General features: G+C 38.6%; 1 protein-coding gene across 28 annotated transcripts in view; it reads left to right on the plus strand.

Annotated features, from left to right (window-relative positions):
- Positions 1–27164, plus strand: part of CNTN4 (contactin 4) — a 959094-nt gene that overhangs the window by 84511 nt on the left and 847419 nt on the right. The window lies entirely within an intron of this gene.

Consider the following 27164-nt stretch of genomic DNA (forward strand, 5'->3'; position numbering starts at 1 on the left):
AGATGAATCCGTAATAACAATAGGATTCTGCTAACTTTGTTTTTCTGATTCCAGTTTTCCTCTTTACTAATTCCATGGCTCTTTTTTTGGGGCTCATTTTTTGCCCAATAAATTATTCCCGCTTATTGACAGGACTGATTTGGGAATTTAAGGTCTGACCATTTGGTGATATCTATAAGTAGATTCATTGTTTATAGAGACCTGTTCTCTGTTAGGCGAGAGACAATAGAGAATCTAGTTGTTAGTCTTTATCTGTTTGTTTGCTTGCCAACACTGACCTCAAATAAATTAAGAATTTTGTGGCCACTGGGCAAGAGAACAGCTCTTTGATATCTGGACTGTATATAACTGGAATAATGGTTATGCACCCAAAGCCATACATGGAATGTCATATTTGAGAATGATAGTCACATAACCACCCCAAGCTACTAAGATGCCATAAGTCTTTACCCCAAATGTGTCAGAAATGGAAGACACTTCTCTCCTATTAGAAGAAACAAATACGTTTGGAAAAAAATATTTTTGGATAGGATAACAGAGAATATCCTCTCCAGAGAACAGGGTAGTGAAATATATTTTGTTCACATAAACTGAATTTTTTTTTTCTTTTTTTGAGACGTGGTCTCGCTCTGTCACCCAGGCTAGAGTGCAGCGGCGTGATCATGGCTTACTGCAGCCTCAGTCTCCTGGGCTCAAGAGATCCTCCTGCCTCAGCTTCCTGAGTAGCTGGGACCACTATCACACACCATCACACGTGGCTAATTTTTATGTTATTTTTATTATTATTTTGGTAGAAACGAGGTTTCACCATATTGCCCAGGCTGGTTTCAAATGCCTAGGCTCAAGTAATCCACCAGCTTTGGCCTCCCAAGGGTTGGAATTTTACAGGAGTGAGCCACCACACCAGCCTGAAATTTTCATTAAAAGGAACTTCCCTTCCAGGAAGGGATGAAGGAGGACTTTTAGAACACTAGAAATGACAGCCCAAAGAGACAGAGCCCAGAGCATGGGTGAGGGTGAGCTGTGGTGTCTTGAAACCTAGACACTTGTTGGTGGAACCAGCTTGGGAACACAGGCTAATTGGGAAGTATGGAAGGAGGATGCTTCAGACACAATTGAATTTTTCAGTGTTACTAGGACATCTATTCCTGTGTATGAACCACCCGCCTGCTGTGGTTTGAATGTTTGTGTCCCCTCCAAAACTCATGTTGACATTTATTCTCAGGTGAAACAATATTATGAGGGAGGGCCCTTAGGAGGTGATAAAGTGCCTTATAAAAGGGCTTGATGGGGCGAGTTACCCCTCCATCCCTTCATGTAAGGACACAACCTCATCCCCTCTGGAGGATGCAGCAACAGGGCACCATCTTGGACACAGAGAGCTGCCTTCACTAGACACTGAACCTGCTGGCACCTTGGTCTTGGACTTCCCAGCCTCCAGAAGTGTGAGAAAAAAATTTCCATGTTTACAAATTACTCAGTCTGTGTTATTTGGTTATAACAGCACAAATGGACAAAGATACTGGCCCTTCTGCAAAAATTCAGGTCCTCAAAATCTTTGTGAAGGATGTGGCTTTTGTTACTTTGCTTTGCTTAAGAAGGGAGAGTGGTCTACAATCACAGGGTTGTTTACCTGCAAGCTCCTCCTGGGCCTGGATTCCTCATTGTGCAACTGTTGTGTTATCTTCAGTGTCCACACCACTCAAAGACAACTTTGGTTTGAATGGAGCCTGGCCTGGGCTTTTTACAGAGGCTGACATTGATTTGGCATTCTGCAGGGCACCTTGCTGACTTTTGTTTTCTCTCTTGGGATGTATCCACTGAGACAAATGACTCATCCATTCTCTGAATTTAGTTTTCTGAGGAGTCTGTCTTCTTTGGGGCAGAAATGGGGACACATTGCTCACCACGGTCTCTCTCTTCCTCTGACCTTTGCAGGAAAGTGCTTTCCCTCTAGTGTGTAAAGTCCCCAACCCTATGTCCAAATTCTGGATTCTTTACTAATTGGAAACTGCTATTATAGGATTCCCATTTTTTTCACTTGGCTCTAAATTAGTATCCCAGATCTTTCAGGAGGGTCTGAAACTTAGGGGATTCGAGCTCTTGCTACCCCAGGGCACTTTCCATATGCTCTAAGTGGATCTATAAAACATGGGAAGGTGCCATATCCCCACAGTGTATGCTATGGGGATGAGGCTGTGAGCCATTAGCAAATTTTCTGGGTCAGTGGGCACTTCAGTTGTACAATCATGAGCCCGGCTCTCAGTCTGTGCCTCTGTTTAGAGTTTTAACTAAGAAGAAAGATGGTCTTCGGGGTGTGATTTCCAGAGATCTTGGACTGCCAATAATGGTACAAAGTATTTCTTGGTTATTACAGCCCTTAGACTACTCAAATTGTCATTGAATATTTGGGAGATTCTAAGCTAATTAGTTCTCTGTGTGCTTAATTTATTTTCTGGTTTTGTTTTATGAGGCATGTGGGACTCCATAGCCTTAATTATAACATATCCTTGGAACCATTGGTCTTTTCTTTTTTAACTGTTTTTTTCTTTTTTTAATTTTTTATTATTATACTTTAAGTTCTAGGGTACATGTGCACAACGTGCAGGTTTATTACATATGTATACATGAGCCATGTTGCTGTGCTGCACCCATTAACTCGTCATTTACGTTAGGTATGTCTTCTAATGCTATCCCTCCCCCTTCCCCCCACCCCACAACAGGCCCCAGTGTGTGACGTTCCCCTTCCTGTGTCCAAGTGTTCTCATTGTTCAATTCCCACCTATGAGTGAGAACATGCAGTGTTTGGTTTTTTGTCCTTGCGATGGTTTGCTGAGAATGATGGTTTCCAGCTTCATCCATCTCCCTACAAAGGACATGAACTCATCCTTTTTTATGGCTGCATAGTATTTCATGGTGTATATGTGCCACATTTTCTTAATCCAGTCTATCATTGATGGACATTTGGGTTGGTTCCAAGTCTTTGCTATTGTGAATAGTGCCGCAATAAACATACGTGTGCATGTGTGTTTATAGCAGCATGATTTATATTCCTTTGAGTATATACCCATTAATGGGATGGCTGGGTCAAATGGTATTTCTAGTTCTAGATCCTTGAGGAATTGCCACACTGTCTTCCACAATGGTTGAACTAGTTTACAGTCCCACCAGCAGTGTAAAAGTGTTCCTATTTCTCCACATCCTCTCCAGCACCTGTTGTTTCCTGACTTTTTAATGATGGCCATTCTAACTGGTGTGAGATGGTATCTCATTGTGGTTTTGATTTGCATTTCTCTGATGGTCAGTGATGATGAGCATTTTTTCATGTGTCTGTTGGCTGCATAAATGTCTTCTTCTGAGAAGTGTCTGTTCATATCCTTTGCCCACTTTTTGATGGGGTTGTTTTTTTCTTATAAGTTTGTTTAAGTTCTTTGTAGATTCTGGATATTAGCCTTTGTCAGATGAGTAGATTGCAAAATTTTTCTCCCATTCTGTAGGTTGCCTGTTCACTCTGATGGTGATTTCTTTTGCTTTGCAGAAGCTCTTTAGTTTAATTAGATCTCATTTGTCAATTTTGGCTTTTGTTGCAATTGCTTTTGGTGTTTTAGACATGAAGTCCTTGCCCATGCCTATGTCCTGAATGGTATTGCCTAGGTTTTCTTCTAAGGTTTTTTATGGTTTTAGGTCTAACATTTAAGTCTTTAATCCATCTTGAATAAATTTTTGTATAAGGTGTAAGGAAGGGATCCACTTTCAGCTTTCTACATATGGCTAGCCTGTTTTCCCAGCACCATTTATTAAATAGGGAATCCTTTCCGCATTTCTTGTTTTAGTCATGTTTGTCAAAGATCAGATGGTTGTAGATGTGTGGTATTATTTCTGAGGGCTCTGTTCGGTTCCATTGATCTATATCTCTGTTTTAGTACCAGTACCATGCTGTTTTGGTTACTATATCCTTGTAGTATTGTTTGAAGTCAGGTAGCATGATGCCTCCAGCTTTGTTCTTTTGGCTTAGGATTGTCTTGGCAATGCGGGCTCTTTTTTGGGAATCATTGGTCCTTGAAGGCAGCTCTAATTTCACCTCATAGCTCTGCTCTCTGAAGCACGCCTCTGCTATGGCTGGAGTCCCTTGGGGGCGTGATTCCCATTCTTATTCCTAGGTTCACGATCAGCTGTTGTGTAACTTATAGTTAGCTCTGGGTTGCCCTTTTGGCCCCCATTTTAGTCACATTCTGCCGGGTTCCGTCTTAGTTGTAGTGTGTGTGAGGACACAATATCGACTACATGCAGAGATGTATTTACCGTCTGCCCTAACCTGATGAGTCTATGCAGGGCCCTTGCAAATATCAAAGCAGGACCACCTTATGCCGCTAGCCTTGCTTACTCACAGGAGAGGACTAGATGCCACATTTTTCTCCCATGATTATCTGTTTTCTCTCAGCTCAGATTTTGAGTCTGCCTCTGAAACATGGGTTTCTGAGTAGGGAAAGGTGGCATGGTAAAAAGGCCAGGATTGAGATGTTCTCTTTTGACACCATAGTTTTATGGATTCAAGGACCATGAGAAGTGCATCCTACTTCTGCCACTTGTGAAAGCAAATCAAGTGGGTTTTAAGATGACAGCAAGAATGAAAAGGGAGAAAAAAAAAGTGGGTTTGCTATACTTGTCAAGTGCCTGGATCAAGGAAGGATCAAGGAGGCTTTCTGAGCCCCTTGATTGGTTACCTTTTGAGCCCTTCCCCAATCATTCCCTAGGCAGAATTTTCTGCATCTTCTAAGTAGAATTTTCCTGGGTGCTTCAGTACAATCCACTTGAGATCCTTGTTCCTCTGGCCCTTCAACATGGAAGTCCATGAGAGTCCATATTTGCCTTTCCATTGAGAGGTCCCTAATAATTTATCTTTAGGCTGCATCAGCAAGAGTCCCTAGGATTCTGTAGGCCTGGCCCCTCTCTTGTTCTGTGAGTCCATGTTGAAGGCCGTGTCCAAGTTGCTTCCTCATCTCCTTGCTGAAAACAAATGCTTCAGGAAAGATAGAGACTAGGACTTAGGATGAAAAGGTCAAGTTCTCCTGAGGAAGATTGGGAGCTGGAGGGATGGAGGCTTCCAAAGATCTCTGGGCCTCAGTGGGTAAATAAAGTCCAGAAACCTTTTAGCTATTTCTGCTGCAGTGCCATTTCAGGCATAGAATTTCAGGTAGGGTGAGAAACTGTACCCATTTCTGGGTTCTAGGGAGGGATACTCTATAGGCATTAATCTGAGGGAGAGAGGGTTGAAATCTGGCCTCTCAGGTACCTGTGAACCAGACAGAAAGGCAGTAATTAGGGCAAAGTTGCAGGAAGATGCTGGTGCTGGGCCTTGGGGTGGGAAACAGGTTGCAGCTGAGGAAGCAGTAGGAATTCTTTAGCCTGCATTAGTATTTGGATGGCAATGGGCTTTACATTGAATAAACAAAGGGAGACTCTGTTGGGGAACAGCTACCACAGACTAAGACTATCAGCTACAAAGACTCCCTGTGCCCTCCCAGGAGAGTTAACTTTACTTACACTGCAAATCATGCCCCAAGTTCTTGAGAGTTGGGAGATGCTATGTACACTGCAGCTGCTCTGGTTGCCCTTCAGTGCTCTAGAGGGACTGAGGATTTTGCCCTGTTCATCATTAAGTAATTCTGTGGAATTCAGAAAATTCAGCCCATAACCTGACCTGAGATGTTTTGGAAATGACCTTTCCTTCTTTTTTTATTTTCTGAAATCTGAAAATCCAGTTTCTTTATGACTCATATCTTCAAATGCTTATTGACATCCAGGCTAAAAAAGAAAAAGTTGCCAGCTTCCACATGCAGGGTGTGCCCAGGCAGGGGTCTGTGATGTGTGAAGAGAAAAATGCTCTTGATGTAAAACACAATGTGAGGAGGTAGGGAGGAACAAGTCCTTCACCGATGCCTGCCGCTAGAAGGCTGACCTGGAAGTTGGGGTCCATGCCTGAGTACCTTCAAACAGAAGAGGCTAACCAGCTGAAGAACTCAGCAGATCTCTCTGGGATGGTACTCAGTGCAATAACAGGCACAACAGATTGAGTTAACGTGGTATATGGTAGTGCTGGAATAGAGAGGGTCAGTGTTGTAGGATGTCAGATAAATGAATCAGTTTGATCCATGGAATGGGCTGAAGGTTGAGAGAGATTGATACCCTGAGAGAGGAGTCAGCCAAGGCCATATTCTTCTCGCCTCCATGTTGTCCCTGAAAAACAAAAAAAGAATGAGGGGCTGGAGCCCCATTCTGACTTTCCTCTCTCTAAGCAAGATGGCGCTCTTCATTATTCATGAAAAATACGATTTCCATAGAACTCTGTGTCCATTCCTATGTTATTCATTTTTTTTAAAGTGACTAAAATATTTTCTAATGCTCTTTGTGAAACTCTAATAACGAACTTTCAGTGAGTGATTCTCAGGTTACTCTCTCGTCAGTAGCCTTCAGCCAAGGACGGATGCCAAATTTTAGACCTGTGATTACCGGAGGTTATCATCTGATCTGATGACTTTAGAGACTCATCATTGCTCCTCAAATCAGTTGTGACACAAAGGCTTGGACCAGTGTCTCCTCATACAGGAAGGTGATGATGAACAAGTGCTGTGAGACTCTGCTCTCCTGCAGATACCCTGTGCTTTCTTAATAGTCCATTTCAAGGTCACTGAATCAGTGTTTGGGATTCTACCCCAGAGTCCTCTGTGAGTTTATGTGTGAGCGTTGGCAAGAAGCTTTCTGCCCAACTCTAACCTTTGCCCTGCTCAGTCTGTTCCACTAGAATGATAATGGGCAAATATTTCCTGAGACATTTCTTCTCATTGATTTAGTAAAATTCAAAGAATAACAGAAATGACAAAAGTCAATCTAAGCAGTTGGGTGGATCTAGGGTTCCCACATCTGACTTGTGTGTGTGTGTGTGTGTGTCTTTGTGTTTTTTTTTTCTGAAATAATGATAAAAAAAGAATTTTTCTAGAGGAAGCACAAAAACAGAAGGAGGTGTCCTACACTATACAGGGAAAATAAAATAGATAAAATGCTTCACAAAGTTGAGCTGGAGCTCATCCATGGGCATAAAGGGTCTTTAGGAGCTGGAAAGATTTCTCCTTTTTTTTTTCTTTTTTTGCATCACATTACTTCCTTTAGAACTGGGTACCAAACATGAATACTCTAGTCTACAGTTCCAGGCCAGCATCTCAGAGCTACGGGACAGTCTGCATGGGTGGTAGGTGGGAGGGCAGTAAAAGATGAAGTTACAGGACCCCCATTCTCCATTCATCCTAGCAGATCTCACCATCCATCCTGAGCCTATTACATTTCTACAGCTTTCTTTGGGCTTGCTGTTTTCTAAATTCAACCTTGCAGCATAGTGCATACATTGGTATACAGCTTAAGGTGAGGACTTTATGCACACACACACACACACACACACACACATACACACACACACATAAATATATATCTCGTACACACACACACACCACTACCTTAGTACAATTTTCTATACAGTTCACATATATTCAGATATTAGCTGGGCTGGTCTTTACGTCTGAAGTTCTTGACTTTCACCTCACCAGTTCAAGACCCTTGAAAGTCTTGAGTTTTCAAGGAATTTTTCTGATTTCCCAGGGCTTGACTCTCTCAGAATCTCCTCTATCCTCATCTCAAGCTTACTGGCATAATGTATTTTTGTTTTTGTTTTTATTTGGTTTTGAAGAGATGGGGTCTGTCTTGCTATGTTGCCCAGGCTGGCCTCGAACTCCTGGGCTCAAGCGATCCTCCTGCCTCAGCCTTCCTAGTAGCTGTGACTACAGGCACGTGGAACCATGCCCAACTTATAATGTGTTTTTAATGTGGCTTTTTTTTTTTTGGCATTAACCCAGACATAGAACTCAACTACCAGATTATTCTCAAGTTTACCCAAAATAATCTATTTTCACAAGGAAACCATTACTGATCAGTATAGCCCCTACATTAAAGGTTTTATAAGTGATACAAGCTGGAGAAAGGTGGGAGCACACCCCGTAGTAGACAATTTAAAAGCCATTCTTAGTAATTGTCCTCTATGTCCCTTTTGGGCTGCTTTGACCAGAGACCTCTCAAACCTCCCTTCTGTACTCATGTGGTGCCGCCACTAGGTTGATCCCTCTCTTCCATGACACCTCTAGCCCGTAAATATTTAACTTTTTTTTATTAGCTAGTCATACTGGGCAATTCAGGTCTTCCAAGTTCAGGCCCCAACTGCCTACAACTGAACTGGAAAGTGAGTGAGGTTATCTATTTAACAAAATTCTATGTATATATATATATATACACACACACACACATACACACACATATATATTTATTATACTTTAAGTTCTAGGGTACATGTGCACAACATGAGGTTTGTTACATATGTATGCATGTGCCATGTTGGTGTGCTGCACCCATTAACTTGTCATTTACATTAGGTATATCTCCTAATGCTATGCCTCCCCCCTCCCCCCACTCCACAACAGGCCCCAGTGTCTGATGTTCCCCTTCCTGTGTCCAAGTGTTCTCATTGTTCAGTTCCCACCTATGAGTGAGAACATGCGGTGTTTGGTTTTTTGTCCTTGTGATGGTTTGCTGAGAATGATGGTTTCCAGCTTCATCCATCTCCCTACAAAGGACATGAACTCATCCTTTTTTATGGCTGCATAGTATTCCATGGTGTATATGTCCCACATTTTCTTAATCCAGTCTATCATTGATGGACATTTGGGTTGGTTCCAAGTCTTTGCTATTGTGAATAGTGCCACAGTAAACATACGTGTGCATGTGTCTTTATAGCAGCATGATTTATATTCCTTTGGGTGTATACCCATTAATGGGATGGCTGGGTCAAATGGTATTTCTAGTTCTCGATCCTTGAGGAATCGCCACACTGTCTTCCACAATGGTTGAACTAGTTTACAGTCCCACCAACAGTGTAAAAGTGTTCCTATTTCTCCACATCCTCTCCAGCACCTGTTGTTTCCTGACTTTTTAATGATCTCCATTGTAACTGGTGGAATGGGATCTAATTAAACTAAAGAGCTTCTGCACAGCAAAAGAAACTACCATCAGAGTGAATAGGCAACCTGCAGAATGGGAGAAAATTTTTGCAATCTACTCATCTGACAAAGGGCTAATATTCAGAATCTACAAAGAACTCAAACAAATTTACAAGAAAAAAACAAACAACCCCATCAAAAAGTGGGCAAAGGATATGAACAGACACTTCGCAAAAGAAGACATTTATGCAAAATTCTACTTCTTGTGAGAGCAGTTGGAGTTATACAGAGCAATATTTTGATTTGTTTTGAGCTACACTCATGTTTACTTGCTCTGTGAATGGCTTACTGATTTTTCTCTTCTACTTTCTAACTTTACACCAAAACCACTATTAGCTCCCCACTATTTAAAAAAAATAAATAATGAGGTCAAACATTTGTTGTTGTCATGGGCGACATGGTGTGTACTGGTGTGGGTGTGAGAGTGTGTATGTGTGTTTTGCTGTGTGATCCAGGCATATAATAGACTTCTAATACAGCTTCACTATTAAGATGACAACTGCTGAAATTCAGTACTGCCTTTTGCCCTCTCTCTGATTTCCTTATTTCTCTCTTAGTGTATCAGCCATGGGAAGACCCAATCTTTCCCTTACTTATGATGCATCTTTACTGGAGTTGACAGCTCCTTTCTTTGCCCATATTCTCCTGCAACACAAGTTTGTCCATAGTTCCATCCCCTGAGAAAACTTAGACTTCAAGCTGTACCCCCTTATCTATTATCTCTTCAGTACAGAATTTCATTCTTTTTGGAAAATTCCCTCCACATATCCTAGCATCTATGGCATTGTCATTTGTGGACTGATCTGGCCCTGACTTGTCCTAAAGCCTCATTACTCTTCTATTAAAAAAATACCTTCTAACTTTGAAGGAGAAGGAAAAAAAAAAGCCACTCCTGATAGAGAACATCAGGGTGATAGAAGGGACTATAAAAATGGCTCATCAACTTTATTCTTCAAAAGTATCACTATAATGGAAGAAAAAAATGCTGGAAACTTTTACTGGTTAAAGGATACTGTAGTAAAGAGATGTGATAACTAAGTGCAGTATGTGGCCATAGACTGGATCTTGAAGTGGAAGATGTACAGTGTTGTAAGGCATATTACTGGGTGAATTAACAACACTGAAACACAGCCAGCAGATTAGATAACATTTCTGTACAAATATAATCATGCACCACATAATGATGTTTCTGTCAGTAATGCATCACATATGCATGACTATGGCCCCATAAGATTATAATGCATCACATATGCATGACTATGGCCCCATAAGATTATAATACTGTATTTTTACTGTATCTTTTCTACGTTTAAATTTGTTTAGATACACAAATAACATTGTGTTACAGTTGCCCACAGTATTTGGGACAGTCACATGCTATACAGGTTTGCAGCCTAGGAGCAATATGCTATCCCATCTAGCCTAGGTGTGTAGTAGGCTATATCATTTAGGTTTGTGTAAATACACTCTATAATATTCCCACAATGATAAAATTGCTTAATGATACATTTCTCAAAACACATCCTTGTGAAGTGATGTGTGACTCTTTTCAGTTCAATGAAGTTAGTAACTGTACTATGGGTACATAAAAAAATGTCCCTGTTTAGAGGAAATACTGAAATATCTAGATATAAGGTTCATCATCATGTTGTCTGTCTCAAATGTTCAGGGAAAATAATTATATGTATAATTATAGAAAGTGAATGGGGCCAGGCATGGTGGTTCATGCCTGTAATCCCAGGACTTTGGGAGGCTGAGGCAGGAGGATCACTTGAGCCCAGGAGTTTGAGACTAGCCTGGGCAACACAAAGAGATCCCATCTCTTAAAAAAAACAAATTAGCCAGGTGTGGTGGTGTGCTCCTGTAGTCCCAGCTCCTCAGGAAACTGAGGCCCAAAGATCACTTGAGCCTGAGAGGTTGAGGCTGGAGGAAACCATGATCGCGCCACTGCACTCCAGCCTGGGTGACAGAGTGAGACCCCATGTCAACAGAAAAGAAAGGAAAGAAATCAAATGGGATACAGTGTTATATTAATAATAAATTGTTATTGGTTGAATTGTGTCCTTCCAAAAAAGATATTTTGAAATCCTCACCACCCGTCCCTCAGAATATGACTTTATTTGTAAATAGGATTGTTGCATGCGTAATTAATTTACATAATGTCATACTGGAGTAGGGTGGGCCCCCAACCCAATATGATTGGCATCATTATAAGGAGAGGGCCACGCAAAGATTGACAGGCAGGCAAAATGCCATGTGAAAACAGAGGCAGATATTGGAGTTATGGAGCTGCAAGCCAAGGAATGCCAAAGTTTGTTAGCAAACCACCAGAAGCTATGAAGAAGTTTTCGTGACAAATTTTAGAGGGAGCATGGCCCTGCTCACACCTTGATTTCAGACTTCTAGCCTCTGGAACTGTGAGACAATAAACTCTGTTGTTTTAAGCCACCCAATTTGTAGTACTTGGTTGCTGCAGTCCTGGAAACTATATATATATATTTAGATTGTAGTCACCTTGCTGTGCGGTAGATCTCAAAACCTATTCTTCCTCCAGTCTATCTGAGACTTTATATCCTTTGATCCCCATTCCCTCCTTCCCTACACTTGCAGTCTCTGGGAGCTATCCTACTATCCTTATACTCTCTGCTTCTGTGAGTTCAACTTTTTTAGATTCCACGTGTAAGTGAGATCATACAGTATTTGTTATTCTATGCCGGGATCATTTCACTTAGCATGACATCCTCCAGATTTATCCATGTTGTCAGAAATGACAGGATTTCATTCTTTTTCATGTCTGAATAGTATTCCATTGTCTACATATTCCACATTTTCTTTATCTGTTCACCCATTGATGGATACTTAGCTTGATTACATATTGTAGCCATTGTGAAAAATGCTTCAATGAACACGGGAGTGAAGATGTTCCTTTGATGTATTGTTTCAGTTCCTTTGGATATATAACCAGCGGTGGTATATATTCCTGGATAATATGGCAGTTCTATTTTTAGTTTTTCAAGGAACCTCCATATTGTTTTCCTTAATATTTGGAAATAACTGCTATTCTGATGCAATATAGAATTTTGTAGCCTAAGATAAGACATATGGGAGGGAAATTAGCATGTGTTTCTAAGTTTGGTTACCTACACAGGAAGAGAAATATTCAACACCTTTACATGTTTGGCACTTGTTCTGATTCCAGAATATCGGTAAGCCCACCACTGACAAGTGTCACTCTGGGAATCACATGGCTATTCTATTCCTGGAGGTTTGCCATCAAAAACAAAGGAGCTTGGCTTCCTAATATTTTAAGAGAAAATATTCCGTGACACTTAGTTACCTAGTTTGGCTTGAAGCAGCCTAAAGCATCTTCTAAATGAACTTATTTCTGGAGATGGAATTACATTCTTGGCAGGAAATAAAAGAAGTCAACTTTCTCTGTGAATTTTCAGTAAGGATTGTGGCATTACCTTATATATTGTTAAGCTTTTGATAAATACTCACATGTTTGTCTGATCCATTTTTGAGTATAAACTTCTGGAAAAAATCTAGAGATGATATAGAAATAAATAAACTTCTGCAGGTCCTATAACCCATGGTATCTATGCTTAATGAAAATTCAGAAGACCCTAATTTATACAAAGCTGTTATGTCATCTCCTAATTATATTCTGTAAAGGGAACAGGCTGGAATTGATGTCTCTTTGCTGTTTTTCAGATACTCTGACTTTTTTGTGTTATTTGGAAAGGACTGATATGAGGTATGTGTGTGAAGTGCTGATTGTGGAGAGAATTTTCAAAAGTGGTGTGAGAGTGTTTGTTGACATGGCCAACTTTATATTTTTACTTTTCTGTGAACCCTACTGTGAATCCTGGCTTCTATCATGGACTTTAAAATCTTTTACTTAAAGTATAATCTGAGAACATATTTGTTCTTTTATTCATTGGTTGGTTGGTTCAATAGACTCTTTGTGCATTTGTTCAATCCTTCATTTTATCATTTCTTCATCACTTAATTATACGGCCAATACAGAAAGTATTTATTGAGCATCTACTATAGTGCTAGTCATGTAACCTCTGATTTATTTTCCACAATTTTTGTTGGTACCATTCATTCATCATTCAACAGTTACTAGTACGTACCCTATACCAAGCATAAAGAAATATAGACAAGGGATCTTGCTGGAAGGCCGTTGGCTTTGTTGACTGGGGTGTGTTATGTGTGAATCACTCCTATCTTGTTTATGCTCTAAGCAGTGATCCATTTCTATCCTATGAAAAAGAAATGCCTGGGCCGGGCACGGTGGCTCGCTCCTGTAATCCCAGCACTTTGGAAGGCCGAGGTGGGCAGATCTTATGAGGTCGGAAGTTCGAGACCAGCCTGACCAACATGGAGAAACCTCGTCTCTACTAAAAATACAAAATTAGCCAGGCATGGTGGTGCATGCCTGTAATCCCAGCTACTCAGGAAGGCTAAGGCAGGAGAATCGCTTGAACCCAGGAGGCAGAGGTTACGGTGAGCCGAGATCATGCCACTGCAGTCCAGCTTGGGCAACAAGAGCGAAACTCGGTCTCACCAGAAAAAAAAAAAAAAAAAAAAGAAGAAGAAGAAATGCCTGGACTCAGAACTATTTCATTAGCAAATCAAGGAAGAAACTTTCTTGAAGTTATAGCGACTATTAAGGAACCTTTACAATTTGGCATCACTTCCCTAGTTCTCTCTTCTCCATACTGGCCCTGGGCCTCTACTGCTCTTTCTAGCTTTCTGCGGATGCTCTGTTTACCTGGATTCATCCTGTGTATGTAGTGGAGGGTGATGGCACACTTTTAAACTGCAAAAGCTGTCATTTTCTTTTCATTCTTTCTTGATTTGCTAGCCGGAATTAATTGATATACATTTATGAAAGAAGAAGCAGGAAAGAATCCGTATGAATTATTCTGCATTTACAATTTATTGAGTACATATCATGTGCCAGGATCATAGTTCAGTGCCTTAATGCACTACATTTCTGGTAATCTGCAATATAATCCTGTGGGGATAGGAGTTGCTTTTTTCATTTTATAAATGGGAAGATGGAGACTCATAGGCTTTGTCAGTCTTCCATGTTAAAATATCTCATCAATGGTCAGATCTGGATTTGAATTTCATGTTTTCTGGCATAAATTTTCTGCTTTCAGCTGTATCCTAAATAAAAAATACCAGTCTTGTGAAAAAATGAGAGATGATGGATATAGATACATACTTTTTAAACTAGAGAATTCTGTCCAGGCACGGTGGCTCATGCCTGTAATAACAGCACTTTAGGAGGCTGAGGCAGTTGGATCACTTGAGGTCAGGAGTTCAAGACCAATCTGGCCAACAGGTGAAACCCCGTCTCTATTAAAAATACAAAAATTAGCCAGGAGTGGTGTTGCATGCCTGTAATCTCAGCTACTTGTGAGGCTGAGGCAGGAGAATCGCTTGAACCCAGGAGGCAGAGGTTGCAGTGGGCTGAGATCACACCACTGCACTCCCACCTGGGCAACAGAGGAACAGAGGCAACAGACACTCTCTCTGGAAAAAAAAAAAAAAGGAGAGAATTTTGGCAATGTAGAATTCTCTTGACGGGAACAGTATAGCAGATATTTCAGTTTCAGCACATGGGGTTCCTGATTAGTGACAAATTCATATTGAACCATAAATCTGTAATACTGTCATACAAGGAGTAAAATGTAGTTGTCTTCTTGCTAATGCTCCTTGGAAAGTTTCAGTCTTTTCCTATTAACTTGGTTGCTCTCAGTTTTATTACCATTTGAAATATATATCTTCTCATATCACAGCAAAAAATAATGACTTTGGATGATGAGTCGTTTTAATGTTTGAACAGAATTACACATAGAATTCAAACTGTTGTCAGCTTTCAAGTTTGTATTATGCTGTTTCCTAGCAGGTACATGCAGACTGAAAGTATTTGTATCATGATGATTTTTACTAACTTTACAGTAATTTTACTTATGACTTTACTTATGGTTGTGAAATCATACAGAGATATGTTATATCAGAATGTCAAAATGCTTGTTTTAATTAAGATCCCAGAAAATATTTATTTCCAAATATCCAAATTTATAAATAACTTTGGAGCTCTGAATTAGCATAAAATCAGTCAAGAAGAAAAAGAGAGTATAAAAAAATAAAATATATTTCCTCCTCTCCCTTCCCCATCATCAGGGACTTTCATAGAATATACTCGAGACTTAATCTGCTTCATTTTGAATTTCATTTTCAAAGCTATTTCTTTTTCAGGCTGCCCATTACACTTTATTTGAAAACCAGCTCTTATCATTTAGTCATTATTGTCACAGATCCCAAGTTCTTAAATTATGCTCATCACAAAAGATACTAGTTTTATGTTCTCATCCCATTCAGGGGCTATTCCAATATACCAGCCGAGGGCCACATTGGTGACATTCAGCACAGATGACAGCTTTTGTTCTGAGCAGGCACACAAAGAAATGACTGGGGAAGCCGAATCATCGTTTCACTAAGGCAAGGAAGAAGTGTCTTTCTGGGTCATGCAGCCCATGGCCAAGAGATGTCAGAATACCTACAGCAAACATATAAGCAGTATAATTAGCTCATTGTCTCTAGCTGGGAGGAATTCCCCCTCACTTGGCATTATTAATCCAGACCTCCTAAAGGCCAAAGTGTTGATAGCCTGCAGTTTGCTGAAATACATATTGAACTATGCATTCTTCAAAATGCAGCTTTAGCTAACCTCCTGCATGAAGGATTCTGTGACTCCACCCTCTACTTCCTTCTTCCCAGTTGTATTATGTTCCTACCACTATTCTGGCATTTCTCACGTGTACTTTTAAAGTGTGTGTGTGTCTCTGTGTGTGTGTGTGACTCTCTTTTTGATTGTGAGTTTTTCTACTGCAGAGATCCCTCCGTACCTTCTCTCCCCCTGTCCCTACCATATTTTTATTATAAATATTTTTATAGATTGATAGCTTTGAAATGATTGGATTTTAGCAGTATAATAGAATGAAACACCTGGATTCTGCTTCTGACTCCATGAGTACAGGGAGTCATTGAATAATGATTCGTTATTATTTAATGCTTTTATTTAACATGTGCTAATTGAGTGCCTCCTATGTGCCAAACTGTTCTGGTGCTGGGAATATAGTGATGAACAAAATAGTCAAAATATAGACAAGACACCGCTGTTCTCCTAGAGTGTGCATTTCTGTGAAGAAGACAGACAGTAAATAACATAGCATGTAAATAATCAAGACAAACACCCAATACATGGTATGCAGAGAATTAAAACAGGAAATGTGTAAGTTGTTACTTTAGGTTAGGTAGTTGGTGTAGCTGAGATCTGAAGAAACCACCAATGAAGGTTAAGGACGTTCTTAACAGAGGGAATAACTTGTGTAGAGACTCCAAAGTGGCAATGAACTTGTCATATTCTAAGCATATGAAGGTCATTGTGATGAGTATGTTGGATGAAGATGAGCTATCAGAGAAATAAAAAAGATGAGTGGTTTGGATTTTATTCTTGATGCAATGGGACAGCATTGGAGACTTTAAGCTGCACAAGGTTATGATTTAGTTTATTTTAAAAACATTACCCCTGCAGTATGTAAAGAATGGATTCACGAGGATAAAGAGATGGTAGGGATCCTCCGTAGGAAGTTATTACTGTAGCCCAAGCAAGAGATGATTCATTGTTCTATGTGGTGGTAGTAGAGATGGAGATGGGTGGATAGATTTTGAGATATGTTTGAGATAGAGTTAAAGATGTGCTGATGGTTTGGAGAAGTTAAGTAAGGGGAGAAATCAAAGTCTTAGTAAACTTTGGTAAGTCACTTAAATATTTCTAGTAACAGGCCCTTCATAAAATGGGGATTACAGATAAATCACTGGTTCCCAACTGAGAGCAACTTTGCTCCTCTCTGTTTCCTCCCGGGACATTTGGCAATTTCTGGAGGCATTTTTAGTTGTTTATGTGTGTTGAGGGGGAGGGGTTCTATTACTAACATTGGTAAGTACAACCCAGGGTCCAAAACATCTTACAATGTACAGGACCACCCCTTCAACAAAGAATGATCTAGCCCAAAGGTCAATAGTGCCAAGGTTGAGAAACCCTGAAATAGCACCTTACAAGGTGGTTGTGAGGACCAGCTAAATTAATATATTTTAAAGCAGGATGAAAGTTTTAAATGCTCTGCAGAGACAAAGTGTTATTGATGCCTCAATTTTACAGTGTCTGTTGGGGTAAAGATAATTCATTCTTGTAGTTCCAAAGAATCTCTTCTCTCCTGGTCCTGAATGAATGTGGTGCATTTTGAATGTGATACTTTGGGCCATAGCCCCCTTATGCTTCAGTAGAGAAGCAGAGAAGAATTGAAAATTTGGGCTTCAAGAATTTTTTTGACTCCACTACAGCCATAATTTAAAATTTTGTGGTAGAAAGTCTGGTTATAAAATTCACTAGAAATGAGTTTTAAAGTAAACTTATTTTTAAAAGGAAGTAGTGGGTGGGTGAATGTGAGACTTTAGGGGGATTGTGCCACCTTTTTTCCCTGAGAAATGCCAAGGGAACTAATTAAAGAAGCTGAAGGGAGAGCAAAGGCACGAATAGAGTAGCCTATTCTCCATTCCTTCTGTGTCAAACACCCCACGCTACACTCTACACTAAGCTCTTGTTAGTAACCTCCCACAGGACAGGGCATTTGCCCTCCAGAAAGTTGGACCTTAAAATGAGGGAAACAAGTAACTCTTACCTGTAATTAGCTTCAAGAATACTCCCTCAAATGAAAGAGAAGTTAAAAAAACTGCCTCAATGAGTTCTTAATTGGGTACAAGATAATGTTGGTAGAAGTTTAAAATATTTAACCAGCAGTAAATATTCAAGGCAGTCATTTGAAGTAATCAATAGCTAGGTGAATGCATACATTAGCTGGCAGAGAATCACTTAATCAACAGTTCAAATAAACAAGAGGAGAATTCAAAATGCAGATCTGAAAATACAGAGAATTAGCAAAGATGCTAATTACATCCAGGTACCTTCTTCCTCCAGTGACTACTTAAACATTTGCCAAAGTATTGCTAAAAATAACCAGTTCTGAAAAGATTCATTTCTTTTCAGAAGAGCTGCTTACTTAGAGAGTGATTGATGGCCAGGTCCAGCAGGCAGCTAGAAGTACCCAAAAATGAAGTGCTAGTAGGTGACCTCACAATAAAAAGCCTTGAGAATCCTTCAGCTGGCATGCGCTGCTGGCAAAAAAGGATATTTTTTTAAATTTTTATTTTTAGTCTTTACCACTTAAAATTTTCAGACTTTTCTCCCCGCTTCAGATATTATATGATAGATTTTATCAGATAGACAGTGAGCCATTTATGATAATATACAGAAACTGACATAATGCATGATTTGGTTCATTTAAAAAAATCTTACTTATCTTCTTTTCCCAATCCTTCTCAAACTCGTCTACACTTCCCACATATAAAATAAAATATATTAAAAAGGCTTAAATCTTACACAGGAGGCTATTTTTAGTATCTCCAACTAGAAGACTGAAGCTCTTAACTCATCTACTAGAGTCACTTGTTAGAAGGAGACTTTCCTACAGGCATTTTTATTTTGCTTTTTGAAGGAATTATGACACCCCCTCCCCACCACCAAAGAATTGCTGTTTCTACCTCTAGCTTCAGTAGCCATTAAGCAGTTCTTCATTTTGAAGGATACATATAGATCCAGAAACATTTTCTGGTTGGAGAAAAAGTGTGTATTTTCAAGGTTCCCTATCTTTAAGGTTCCTAGTTCTTATTAAAGTAGCAGGATAATCAGCTTAATGGGTGGTTGCTTACGCTTTCTGTGGGAAAACCATGGGGGTGGGAGTTACAAGTATTTGTTCTAATTTCAGCCTCATTACTAACTAGCTGTGTAGACTTGGGCAAGTCATTTACCTTGAATTTCAGCTTAGAGGCAGGATTGTTAAAATAGGATCAATTTGTAACTGGATTTGAAACCTGATCAGACTATTAGAACCCTACTCAAGACTTAATTACTGAGTCTAGGTGTTTCCAAAGTCTCAAGGTGATGGATTCTTTTACAGCCAGTGTTTGTGCATCACTGATAATTCATTCCCTTCACTTTGCAGCACTGATAATTCATTCCCTTCCATTTGCAGACTATAGAAATTTAAGTTTCAGAGAAGCTTAGTAATTTACTTAAGGTCACATAGCTAGATAATAATGAAACTTGAACTTTAAATGTAACTTACTGACCCCCAAGATATTGCTGTTTCCCTATTATTAGGTGCTTATTTAACCGGAGAATTGCCATGTGTTTTTTGTAACAATTACATTTTTTTTTTCTTTTTGAGATGGTGTCTTACTCTGTCACCCAGGCTGGAGTGCAGTGGCGTCATCTCAGCTCACTGCAACCTCCACCTCCCAAGTTCGAGATTCTCCTGGCTTAGCCTCCCAAGTAGCTGGGAGTACAGGTGCATGCCACCAAGCCTGGCTAATTATTTTTTTTTTTTTTGCATTTTTAGTGGAGATGGGGTTTCACCATGTTGGCCAGGCTGGTTTTGAACTCCTGACCTCAAGTTGTCTGCCCGCCTCAGCCTCCGAAAGTGCTGGGATTACAGGCGTGAGTCTCTCTGCCTGGCCACAATTACAATTTAATATTAAAATATATACATATGTGTATTTCTATACATGTGTGTTGACTTTTACACAGTATTTAACATTTTCAGGTGTGTAAAATGAAAGCATTAGGACTAAATGATCACATAGTGACTATTTGGCTCTTTTAGAGAGAATGTGAATCACTACCTACCATTTCACTGATGCACACTGTTTAAAAGATACTATGCTAGGTGTTACAGTTAGACCCTGAGAAATGGGGTGCTACTATGATGTTGTTATGATAGCCATGCATGTGAATAATATCCAGATTCTGCTTGGCCCAGATACCTCTCCTTCCTATCATATTTCTGGGAGAAATAGATGCTTAAAAAGGGAAAAGAAAGCAAAGTAGAGCATGTTATATATACCTGGGTCTTTGGCCAAGGTACAACAGTATAATGTCATGGGCCATGAGAAAGGCTCTATTTTCTCTAAGTTAATTAGAGAAAATGTACCTGCTCCAGTACGTTCCTGAATAGATGTATCCTTATACCTTTGTAGAGGGAGCAGGCACTAAGTCAGCTCACTACTCCAATTCATCATATTGGGAAAGAAAAAAGAGAAAAAGCTAGAACATATCCAGGTACATTGGCCTTCTGACCTCCTTGAAAGCACAACTCCTAAGAGGTGTGGCCCAACTAATGCTGTATGATTGTCCAAACCAGATCAATAACACTCCTTTTGGTAGAAGCCAGTAAACAGAATGTTGAGTATAACCTGTTTATACAGATGAGAAATCTGACACATAAGTTCAAATTACAGGCCTAAAGTTGCTTACTGCATATTTCTTCCCTTTTCTTTCATAGCTTCATATATGTGTATATATGAATATGAGTGGTATGAGTGTATTTCAAACATACATATATATTCCAAAGATTATCATGTAAATGTCATAAACAATTGTAACATTTAAATTCTTAAATTTAATAGTAAGATATGTTTTATAACATGTATCTGAGTTTTTATATTCATTCATTGTTATATTCCATCAGGAGTCATGTGAATACTTAAAAATGCAGAGCAGGTAACTTTTAAGATCTTTGATTATACACTTTAATAAATAGGTTCAGTAAAATTCACATTTCTTGACATATTCATTACTCAGCAAGAATTGCATACATCTTTTTAATTATTCCCAAACATTCAATACCTTCAACTCTTAACAATGAATTAATTCCTTTGAAGTTATTATACACATTTAATAAAATTATATGTAACTACGCAGAAAAATAATATAAGCTTCTCTTTTGATCCTAAAAGTAGCTAATTCAACTGTTTCTTTCTGCAGTTGTAGGAATTGTTCACAGATTCTTCTTGAAGTTTTGCACTTTTGTGTATCTCTACTTGTTTTATTGGTTAAGCAAAGTAAAACTTCTGAATGGCTTTTGAAACTGTACACAAAACTCATAAACACAACCTTTAAACAACTATTGTTAAAGTAAGAAAAAAACAATTAACTTATAAATCTTTTTCCTCTTTTCAGATGTAGGTCACAAAGGAGAAATGCTCCTCTGTTAATTTTTGTTTTTTTTTAAAAGAACTGTTGGTTTTAAACTTCTTTTTAGCCTACTCACTATTCTCAAAGGATGCAAGGCCCCCCCATGGGATAAAGTCAGCTTTGTCAGAGGAATATCAGCATGTCAGCTCCTGAAGAACCACTTGGAGTTTGAATAGTAACTTATTGAGTGGATAATTGAGAAAGCTGAGTTAGGACAGGATTTCTGGCCCTAATAACATATGAATGTCTCATAATTATCAGTACAGAATCCTATGAAATCTAATGCTTACTTTGAAACATATTTATTTAATTTATATGTAAGTATTTATTTATTTGTACTAGACAGATACAGGTTGGGAATTACTTAGGTTTTGCTTAATAAAATAGTTACTTTTTTCAAAAACATGAATTATCTTTTTTCTTTTTGGTGAGAAGAGGTCATGTAAACACCAATTGTCTAGCAAGATTTTTGTATTGCTTTTTATTAGGGACTGTTGGTTTTAAATTGCTTTTTAGCTTACTCATCATACTTTTAAATACATGGATAGTTTTCTGCCATATCCAAGATATTTTTAATAATAAAAAGTTTTTTTATTTCTAAATATCAATATTATTATGATTTTTTTCCACCAGTGAAAAAATACAGTGATAATGCAGGGAAGTATAATTACTAATTTATTTTGTAATATAATTATAAAATATATGTAATATAATTATAATATACTTAATATTTTGTAATGTAATTACAAAATTAAACCTAATTTTATACTTCTTTGAATATTTTGGGAGTCAGGTGGTTTTTCTCTAACTCAAACTTCTACCAGAGACTTGGGATCCCATGAACTGTAGGGACTTCTGTATTCCTGGAACTGGTTTGGGCCTCAAATAAAACCTGCTCAAGTTCTCACTCAATCGTAAGCTCCCAAAGGGCAGAGATGATGTCTCTCTGATTTTCAAGGGACTAACCCAGTGACAGGCACAGAATGGCCATTTAGTAATGAATGACAAGGGTGCTCATGCAATTTTAAAACATAGTCCCTCAGCTTTTCTGCCTTTGAGTCCAATAAGCATACTAGAAACCCAGAACGAAGCTAGTAATATTTGTTCCAGTAAAGTGACATGTATATGGTTTTCAAAAAAACAGCTGTTTGTTTTTTTTAGAAGCATAAGATTATTAAATAAACTTCTGTAATGAGTGGATAAAATGGTGTATCCTATGAAAACAACCAAAGAATCACTGAATCAGCAGTTCTGAAAGATAAAAGTCTCATTTTGAGGAAATGCAAAACAACTGAATGCATTTTATTACTTTGCATTTAAAGTAGGAAGGTGGCAAATACTCGGAAGGGTATTCCAGTTCTGTTTCTTTGTAGGCAGTTATTTTTACTGACAGGTGAGAGTGTTTCACCTTTATTTGTTTTATAGATACAAGCTCTTACAATGTTCTTTTTCCTTCCATGGACCTTCTCCTCTTCTATTTCTTACCAAGTAAATTATTGAAACAAGGCTATTTTGAGGTAAAACGAGGAAGAGAAGTAATACCTCACTGCAACCTCTTTCCAAACAATAGGGAAACATCAAAGTTAGGGTCAAAGCTAATACTGTCAACTTATAAAAGAGCTCACTCATCATGTCTAACTTTCTTTGACAGTATCTACAAAGGCTTCTGTATCTAGGGATGATTTTATTGTCAATATGCAATCAGGCAGGTCAATGTTCATTTCATTTGTGAAGAAAACTACATCAAGCAAATTTCATTATAAAACCTAAAATCAATATACATTTGTGTCAGTGTTCTCTAAATAATGAATGTGAATACTCCTTCACCCTGAAATAACATTTTTAAGGATTGGATTTTTCTGAAAAAAATAAGAAGACATATTTGGTTTTTCTTTGAACAATATTTGCACTTGATTCTAAGACAGTGATACCAGGAATGACTTTTGGAGTCGGTTTTGTTTTAAATATGTTTATTGATCAATTATGGCCCCTATACAAGTTGAGACTGACTCGAGTAATGAAATATTCAGACCTATCAACTGGTAATATTAGAATAGTGATAATAAGCATAGCTAGTATTTGCTTAGTATGCATTATTTATGGATACTGTGAAGGAATTTTCTTTCATTTTTCACATTTAGTCTTTGTAAACTGCCTTAATATAGAAATACAATACAGGGATACCTCATCCGATTGCAGTTTGCATTACTGCACTTCGCAGATACTGCTTTTTTTTTTTTTTTTAAAGAATTTTAAGGTTTGTGGCAACTCTGAGTTGAGCAAGGCTATTAGTGACATTTTTCCAACAGCATATGCTCACTTTGTGTCTCTTTGTAACATTTTGGTAATTCTCTCAATATTTCAGACTTTCTTCTTATTATTATATTGTTACAGTGATTTATGATCAGTGAGCTTTCATGTTACTATTGTAAATTTGGGGGGTGTCATGAACCAAACTCATAAAAGATGGTGAACTTAATTGATAAGTGTAGAGTGTGTTCTGACTACTGCAGCTACCAGCCGTTCCTAGTCTCTCTGTCTCTCTTAGGACCTCCCTATTCTCTGAGACACAATAATATTGAAATTAGGCCGATTAATAACCCTCCAATGGCCTTGAAGTGTTCAAGTGAAAGGAAGAGTCATACATCTCTCACTTTAAATCAAAAGCTAGAAATGATTAAGCTTAGTGAGGAAGGCATGTCGAAAGCTGAGAGTAGGCCAAAAAGGTAGGTCTCTGGCATCAAACAGCTAAGTCGTGAAAACAAGGGAAAAGTTCTTATTGAAAATTACAAGTGAACAGACAAATGATAAGAAAGTGAAATAGCCTTAGTGATGAGATGGAGAAAGTTTCAGTGGTCTGGATAGAAGGTCAAACCAACCACAACGTTCCCTTAAAGACCTAACCCTAATCCAGAGCCAGGAACGAAGTGTCTAAAATTATGTGAAGATAGAGAGGTAAGGAAACTGCAAAAAGAAACATTTGAAGCTAGCAGAGGTTGGTTCAGAAGTTTAAAGAAACCAGCAAGTGTGATGTAGAAGCTGCAGAAATTTATGCAGAAGCTCTAGTTAAGATCATTGAAGGTAGCTACACCAAAGAAGAGATTTTCAGTGTAGATGAAGCATCCTTCTATTGGAAGAAAATGCCATGTAGGGTTTTCATAGTTACAGAGGAGAAGTCATTGCCTGGATTCAGAGCCTCAAAGGACAGGCTGACTCTCTTGTTAGGAGCTAATGTAACTGGTGACTTTAAGTTGAGGCCAATGCTCATTGACCATTCTAAAAATCCTAGGAATTATTTTCAAAATATTACTGCTCATCCACAATGCACTTGGTCACCTAAGAGCTCTGATGGAGATAGACAAGATTGATATTATCTCCTTGCCTGTTAACATAATATCCTTTCTGCAGTTCATTGATCAAGGAGTAATTCTGACTTTCAGCTCTAATTATTTAAGATATATACTTCATAAGGCTATCAGTACCATAGATAGTGATTCCTCTGATGGATTTGGGCAAAGTAAATTTCAAACCTTCTGGGAAGAATTCACCATTTTCTATGCCATAAAGAACATTTTTGCGAATCAAAGGAGGAGCCCAAAACAGCAACATTACCAGAAGTTTGGAAGAAGTTTATTCTGACCGTCGTGGATGACTTACAGAGGTTCAAGATTTCAGTGCAGGAAGTTAACTGCTAATGTGGTTGAAAGAGCAAGAGAACTGGAATTAGAAACAGAGCCTGAAGATGGGACTGAAATTGTTGCAATCTCATGATAAAGTTGAAATGGATAAGGAGTTGGTTCTGATGGATGAGCAAACAAAGTGATTTTCTGAGATGAAATCTACTCCTGGTGAAGATACTGTGAACATTGTTGACATAACAACACAGGATTTAGAATATTATGTAACTAGGTGATAAAGGAGCAATAGAGTTTGAGAGAATTGACTGCATTTTGAATTGACTGCATTTCTGCTGTGGGTCAAATGCTTTCAAACAGCACCACATGCTACAGAGAAATCTTTCTCGAAAGGAAGGGTCTATCTATGCAGCAAACATTGTTGTCTTATTTTCAGAAATGGCCACAGTGACCCCAAACCTTTAGCAAACACCACCCTGATTAGTCAGCAGCCATAATACTGAGACAAGACCCTCTACCAGCAACAAAGATTACAACTCACTGAAGGCTCAGATGATTGTTAGCATTTTTTAGCAATAAAGTATGTTTAAATGAAATATGTACATTGTTTTTTAGACATACTGCTAAAAAACAATGCACACCAGATAGCCTACAGTGTAGTGTAAATGTGACTTATACACACGGGGAAACCAAAAACTTTGTGTGCCTCACTTTATTGTGATATTGTTCTGTTGATCTGGAATCAAATTCACAATAATTCTGAAGTGTATTCCTGTAGCCTGGGTAGGCTAAATGCTATAAGCAATAGCCCCCCAAATCTCAGTGTATTAACACAATAGATGTTTTAATATCGCCTAGCAGCTGAATACAAATGTATCCTTCTATTTGTGGCCCACTATTTTACAGAGCCTCTGAGTCCTCTGCTATGTTCCTGTCAATCTCACACAAGAGGAGAGAGAGAAGGTGAGGATAGCACAGATCTTTTACATGAGTGGGCACTGGGAGAGGCACCTATCTCTTCATCCACATTCCCTTTGGGAAAACCCATCATTTGGTTACATCTAACTGCTAAGGAGCTTGGGAAATATAATCAAGTTGGCTGATCAAGTAGCTATCCTCTCCCATAGGTAGTGTTATACCCCTTTATAGATGATGAAACTAAGACTTAAAGTTCAAACAGTATTCCATACCATCAGCATCATCTACGTGTATAATGGTAACACTGAGTCTCCCTAGTAACAAAAAAGGTCCCTGTTTTTTAAGCACTGTGGTCTCCTTCAACCCTGTGCTGGGTAGTTTGCCACTTACTATGATTTACCCTGGAAACAAATGGTATCTTCCCATTGAAAAGGCTAGCTGGGGAGATGCACAGCTGAGATTTTGACTTTATGTTTTATTCAGGGTCCAACGCTTGATTTTGTAGTAGCTCTATTGATAAAGCTAAAATTTAATAACAGAAGTAATAAGTACAACTTCTGGGGAAAATTTTAAGAATCAGTTGGCAATTCCTGTGCTCCTTCTTTCCTCCTATTATGAAACAGGCAGTGTTCTAAATAAAGCTATTCTGTCAAACTGGGTCCGTATTGACTTTGATAAGCAAGTGCTCTCTGTGGGCCCATATTGGATGTGTAATATGAGTAAAAAACTTTCCATAAGTCCCCGAGAGCTTTATTTTTATTTTATTTTGTACTGGTATTATTATCAAAGCATAGCCTAGCCTTTCCTGGCTGATACACACTTTAGCCTAGAATCTCTACTTTCAGTGTCTTACAAAACTATTTACCAAGGTGTGTAAGATATGTATGTCCCTGTATCTATTTGTCTATCCAATGTTGTTCACCAGAGTCTTGTTTAATAAGTTATGGTTGAGAGAATTATGCTTGTCCATACAATGGAATATGTGAAGCTGATTTTAAAAAATGATATGATAGATCTGTATTTACCTACATGAAAAGATGACCACAAGCCATGATTACATGGAAAATACATAAAAGTATATGCATGATATTTCACAGAGTAAATAAAAACTTATTATTATTGTAGGAGAATAGACTTCCCAGGACCCTGAGGAGCTGGAGGAGGTGACAGCACGCTGCACCATTCCCAATGTAGTCCAAGGTTCCGGCATACCATTGTCTGCCTAAATCACCAAGTTAGCTTCCTTAATGGTCTCCTTACCTTCAGTCTTGGCCCCCTCCAGTACATTTTCCACACAATGTAGCCAGTGTAATCTTTATAACAGATGATTCACCTATT

The sequence above is a fragment of the Homo sapiens genome, chromosome 3 (assembly GCF_000001405.40).
Source record: "Homo sapiens chromosome 3, GRCh38.p14 Primary Assembly".
In the NCBI taxonomy this organism is placed as follows: domain Eukaryota; kingdom Metazoa; phylum Chordata; class Mammalia; order Primates; family Hominidae; genus Homo; species Homo sapiens.